The sequence below is a fragment of the Homo sapiens genome, chromosome 6, assembly GCF_000001405.40.
Source record: "Homo sapiens chromosome 6, GRCh38.p14 Primary Assembly".
NCBI lineage: Eukaryota > Metazoa > Chordata > Mammalia > Primates > Hominidae > Homo > Homo sapiens.
The window spans coordinates 60,879,887-60,886,606 of NC_000006.12; the positions used below are offsets into that span (position 1 = coordinate 60,879,887).

At 35.6% G+C, this 6,720-nt stretch overlaps 1 annotated feature.

Annotated features, from left to right (window-relative positions):
* Positions 2,550 to 3,051: an enhancer, noted in NCBI's record as "NANOG hESC enhancer chr6:57850183-57850684 (GRCh37/hg19 assembly coordinates)". NCBI's record gives its function as "activates a minimal SCP1, AML or CMV promoter by ChIP-STARR-seq in primed H9 embryonic stem cells {active_cell/tissue: H9 hESC(primed)}" and the evidence as "EXISTENCE:reporter gene assay evidence [ECO:0000049][PMID:30033119]".

Genomic DNA, 6,720 nt, shown 5'->3' on the forward strand with positions numbered 1-6,720 from the left:
AATATTTAGAAATAAAAATTTTTAAGGAAATAGCTTATAAGCCAAAGTAAATATTTTCAAAGTGTCTTATGTTGTCAAAATGATAACATAAAGCAAGCTGGAGACTTTGCTCTTCAAATCTACACAACAGGACTGGCGCCTATCAATGAACCTTTCTACATGTAAATATCTAGAAAGGAGCCTTCTGGGGAGTCTATTCTGGGGTAGATCTGTGTTTAAGACAACTGAGTGGACTGGAAATGGACTCTCCAGTCACTTGCAAAACATGTTATTTCATTATTTATCTTTAACATTTTAAGTTTAATTAGCATTTTTTTTTCAGGCTTATATATACATTAGCTCAAGTGCAGCCAAACTTGCTTTCAATTTGTGAAAAGGAACTTCAACTTTAAGTAGGAAAAAAGAATGTACAATGTATATTGTTAGAGTTCTTTAAAAGAAACCTTGAAACGATCCATAATACAATGATTTTTCAGGATTTGAGCATTAAGCTATACATCTGAAATATTCCTTCATAAATAAATAAATTATGTTTTGCCTTAAAGAATGAGATAATTTTGAGCCAAGCACAGGGGCTTATGCCTGTAATCCCAACACTTTAGGAGGCCAAGGCAGGAGGACCGCTTGAACAAGCCAGGAGTTTGAGACCAGCATGGACAACAAAATGAGACCCTGTCTCTACAAAAAATGTTTAAAGACTTAACTGAACCTGGTGGTGCATGCCTGTGGTCCCAGTTACTTGGGAGGCTGAGGCAGGAGGATCGCTTGAGCCTAGGAGTTTGAGACTGTAGTGAGCTATGATTGTGCCACTGCACTGCAGCCTTGGTGACAGATTGAGACCCTGTGTCTAAAAACAAATAAATAAATAAATTAAAAAAAATTGAATGGGATCATTTATCTTACTTTAAGGCCAAATAGCTGAGTTATAATAGGCTTAAATCAGGAGTTTGACTAGTATAATAAATACAATTAATTAATTGTGGTCAGTTCTACATTGTGTTACCTCAGACTTATGTAATTAAAATATTTGAATCAGAAAAGCATATTTTTTGTGTTAATTTGATAAGCATGGCTGCCAAATACTCTGTTTGCCTTTTTTTCTTTTTCTTTTTTTCCCTCCCTTGTTTCTTTGTGTTATGAACCAAATGATAACTTCCTCTTACAGATCCAGAGAGCTGTTCGTCTTTGAGTAGGAACATACAGAAAAGACGTAAGGCATTTCTTTTCTCACATTTTAAAATAAAGAGCCTCAGCATTTCCAGAGTGAATTTTAAGGTTTATGGCTCTGAAAATTGCAAGTTAAAAAGCACATTAGCAATTATTTTTGAATTGCACTAGAAATTATGGACCAGTTCAAAACAGATTGCTGATGTTCTAAAGTGAACCACAGGTGCAACAAAAATCTTCTGCAATAGAGATTTTTGTTATGATTTTATCCTTATCCTATATCCTTTTTTCCTGCAACATTACTGCATTTTCTTTTAAACAATGCTATTACAGATAATTCCCAAAGATATAATGTAGTCTTCTGCTCAGAACAGGATAAAAATGGAAAATTCTAGGTTCTATTTCTGAGCTTTGCTCATAGCGGTTTAGTAGAAAGCTTAGTATCTGGGTCTCCCCATTACAAAAAATAAAGTTTAATTACTATTTATCCTGAAAGATACTTAATTATCAGTAGGAAAGGCTTGATGCTATTCAATGATCCTCAGATCAAAGCAATTTAAACATGCATTATTTTAACAATATACAAGTATGAAAGCTAAGAAATTATCTAGTGCGAGGCTCATCACCCCCCTCTATGATTTTTTTTTCTCAGAATTCATGGGTAACCTAGATTCTGAAGTGGAGATATACAAAGAACATCCATTTGAGGCAGAGGAAATTATTTCCTTTGCCTTTTGTTTTGTTTTCTGCATAAAAGGAATCACAGATATTTCCACATGAAAGGATTTATTTATCCAGGAATACTTTCGAACTTACACTATTTTTTGGGGGGCCCAAATCATTTAGAAGATTTTTATATGGGGGAGAAAACAATAACCACATTGTGACAGGATGGTAGAGTCATTGTCAGTAGCATTTAGTTAAAGGACAGTACGATGGACAAGACATAGGCTTTAAAGTAGAAATAAAGTGCTTGCTTTGGTCCATAGTTATTGCTGGCTTAATTGGATATTTCATCATATGCTGTGATGGACTTTTGGTTATCATGTTTATGTGTCTTTTACCTATTTGAATCTTTACACAAATGAAAGGCTCTTTTTGAGAGTGGGTTTTTTTTTTTTTTTAAAGGGGAAATCATATTGGACTTGAGCACTATAATTGATTGTTTAGCTCATAAATATAGAAAATACAGGTACTATAAATAATGTTTTTACCTCTTGTTTTTGATCTCTTTTTCTTTCGTTTTCAGCCTTTCAGAGCTGAAGCATCCCATGTAATTGCTTTTACTTTCCCACATCTCAGTCATTCTGCTCTATCTTTTTCTGTTAGTGATTATATTAGCTCAACAGTATTTAACTACAGTTTTCATGGTCAATTATTAATGAATGTTTCATTTTATCTGTGGTATTACTTTGCCAACAAAACTGCTGTGAAGTTAATTACTTGGCAGTTTTTTAAAGTATAAAATGGAAAGAAATGGCTTTTGCTGTTAAATTGTCATGCAGACCCACTTTTGTCATTACAGGATACAAGAGATCCCTTTGATAACTGAGCCAAGCAGGTCAGCCACTCTCTATTGTTCAAATGGTTGATAAAATATGCACAAAACTGAAATCTGGTGGGGTCTGGAACCTGTGGCTTTGCAATTTGGAAGGCGTTTGATTATGTCCTTTGTAGATTGTTCATGTTCTTTGAACCTGTTTGAAAAAATGTTTATATTTCAACCTGCTGAGTTCCTAACATTTAAAAGAGAATAAGTGGCTTCCATAAATCCAGGCAACCCAGGCAGAAAAGGTTTGCCTCACAAACAATGGCTGAGAGAGACACCTGGCCTCAGGCACATCAAGAGGCTGTATTGTTAGGCCTGGGCATTGTGTAGAGTGGATGTTCAGGAAAAGGCAATTCCTAAAAGGTTACTGTACTAAAAGCCTTAAGACTCTTATCTGTCTTGACTCATTTCAAACATTCTTCTTCACAAAAACATCAAGGCAATACCTTTAAGATTTTTAATTAGAAGTTGTTTGTGTGCTGTGAGGGAAAGCACAAGCATAATCTCCACCTTAGGGTGGCCAGATACAGTGAATAAAAGTACACAGCACTCAATAAAATGTGAATTTCAGAAAGTAAGTATGAACCACATGTCCTGTATTTTATCTGGAAGCCTTACATTTTAGTTCTATTTCTTTTCATCCCACATAAAAGTTACATGTTTTGCTGTCACATATAATGAGTAAGGGGAGAATCCATGAACACAACATAAGTGAAATATGATTATGTTATTTTGTTAACACTTTAATTTGAGGTAGTTTTGAGAGTTTTTCTAAACATCTCAGTGCTGGTTTCCAATCTTGGGTACCTATCGGATTCTTATCTAGAGAACTAAGAAAACTCACTGACATATGCTCAAGGTGGTCTTAATGATCCACTTAGTTTGTCTAGACTTTAGATACGTTTCTTAACTATAGGCCCTTGACCTCCCTTTTCTCTTTTCTTTTCTTTTCTTTCTTTCTTCTTTCTTTTTTTTTTTATTATACTTTAAATTCTGGGATACATGCGTATAACATGTAGGTTTGTTGCATAGGTATATATGTGTCATGGTGGTTTGCTGCACCCATCAACCCATCATCTAGGTTTTAAGCCCCACATCTATTAGGTATTTGTCCTAATGCTCTCCCTCCCATTGCCTCCTACCCCCTCAACAGGCCCCCCTGTGTGTGATGTTCCCCTTCCTGTGTCCATGTGTTCTCATTGTTCAACTCCCACTTATGAGTGAGAATATGCAGTGTTTGGTTTTCTGTTCCTGTGTCAGTATGCTGAGAATGATGGTTTCCAGCTTCATCCATATACCTGCAAAGGACATGAATTCATTCTTTTTTATGGCTGTATATTATTCCATTGTGTATATGTGCCACATTTTTTTTTTATCCAGTCTATCATTGATGGATATTTGGGTTGGTTCCAAGTCTTTGCTATTGTGAATAGTGCTGCAATAAACATACGTGTGCATACGTCTTTATAGTAGAATGATTTATAATCCTTTGGGTATATACCCAGTAATGGGATTGCTAGGTCAAATGGTATTTCTGGTCCTAGATCCTTGAGGAATTGCCACACTGTCTTCCACTATGGTTGAACTAATTTACACTCCCACCAACAGTGTAAAAGCCTTCCTATTTCTCCATATCCTCTCTAGCATCTGTTGTTTCTTGACTTTTTAATGATCACCATTCTAACTGCTGTGAGATGGTATCTCATTGTGGTTTTGATTTGCATTTCTCTAATGACCAGTGATGAGCTTTTTTTCATATGTTTGTTGGCCACATAACTGTTTTCTTTTGAGAAGTCTGTTCATATCCTTCACCCACTTTTTGATGGGGTTGTTTTTTTTTCTTGTATATTTGTTTAAGTTCTTTGTAGATTCTGAATATTAGACCTTTGTCGGATGGATACGTTGCAAAAATTTTCTCCCATTCTCTGGATTGCCTGTTCACTCTGATGATAGTTTCTTTTGCTGTGCAGAAGCTTTTTAGTTTAATTAGACACCGTTTGTCAATTTTGGCCTTTGTTGCAATTGCTTTTGGTGTTTTAGTCATGAAGTCTTTGCCCATGCCTATGTCCTGAATGGTATTGCCTAGGTTTTCTTCTAGGGTTTTTATGGTTTTAGGTTTTACATTTAAGTCTTTAATCCATCTTAAGTTAATTTTTGTATAAGGTGTGAGGAAGGGGTCCAGTTTCAGTTTTCTGCATATGGCTAGCCAGTTTTACCAGCACCATTTATTAAATGGGGAATCCTTTCCCCATTTCTTGTTTTTGTCAGATTTGTTGAAGACCAGATGGTTGTATATGTGGGGTGTTATTTCTGAGGACTTTATTCTGTTACATTGGTCTATATATCCGTTTTTGTTTCAGTACCATGCTGTTTTGGTTACTGTAGCCTTGTAGTATACTTTGAAGTCAGGTAGTGTGATGCCTCCAGCTTTGTTCTTTTTGCTTAGGATTGTCTTGACTATATGGGCTCTTTTCTGGTTCCATATGAAATTTAAAGTAGTTTTTTCTAATTCTGTGAAGAAAGTCAATGGTAGCTTGATGGAAATAACATTGAATCTATAAATTATTTTGGGCAGTATAGCCATGTTCATGATATTGATTCTTCCTATCCATGAGCATGGAATGTTTTTCCATTTGTTTGTGTCCTCTCTTATTTCCTTGAGCAGTGGTTTATAGTTCTCCTTGAAGAGGTACTTCATGTCCCTTGTAAGTTGTATTCCTAGGTATTTTATTCTCTTTGTAGCAATTGTGAATGGGAGTTCACTCATGATTTGGCTGTCTGTCTGTTGTTGGTGTACAGGAATGCTTGTGATTTTTGCACATTGATTTGCATATCCTGAGACTTTGCTGAATTTGCTTATAATCTTAAGGAGTTTTTGGGCTGAGACAATGGGGTTTTCTAAATATACAATCATGTCATCTGTAAACAGAGACAATTTGACTTCCTCTCTTCCTATTTGAATACACTTTATTTCTTTCTCTTGCCTAATTGCCCTTGCCAGAACTTCTAATACTCTGTTGAATAAGAGTGGTGAGAGAGGGCATCCTTGTCTTGTGACAGTTTTCAAAGGGAATGCTTCCAGCTTTTGCCCATTCAGTATGATATTGGCTGTGGGTTTGTCATAAATAGCTCTTGTTGTTTTGAGACATATTCCTTCAATACCTAGTTTATTGAGTGTTTTTATCATGAAGCCATGTTAAATTTTATCAAAGGCCTTTTCTGCATCTGTTGAGATAATCATGTGGTTTTTGTCATTGATTCTGTTTATGTGATGGATTAAGTTTATTGATTTGGGTATGTAGAGCTAACTATCCTAAATATATATGCACCCAGTACGGGAGTACCCAGATTCATAAAACAAGTTCTTAGAGACCTACAAAGAGACTTATGCTCCCACACAATAATACAGTGAGACTTTAACACCCCACTGTCAATATTAGACAGATCAATGAGACAGAAAATTAATAGGAATATTCAGGACTTGAACTCTGCTCTCGTCCAAGTGGACCTAGTAGACATCTACAGAACTCTCCACTCCAAATCAACAGAATGTACATTCTTCCGAGCGCCACATAGCACTTATTCTAAAATCAACCACATAATTGGAAGTAAAACACTCCTCATCAAATGCGAAAGAATGGAAATCATAACAGTCTCTCAGACCACAGTGCAATCAAATTAGAACTCAGGATTAAGAAACTCACTCAAAACCACACAACTGCATGGAAACTGAACAACCTGCTCCTGAATGACTACTAGGTAAATAACGAAATTAAGTTAGAAATAACAAAGTTTTTTGAAACCAATGAGAACAAAGAGACAATGTACCAGAATCTCTGGGACACAGCTAAAGCAGTGTTAGGAGGCAAATTTATAGCACTAAAATGCCCATATCAGAAAGCTGGAAACATCTAAAATGGACATCCTAACATCACAATTAAAAGAACAAGAGAAGTAAGAGCAAACAAACTTAAAAGCTAGCAGAAGACAAAAAGTAACTAAGA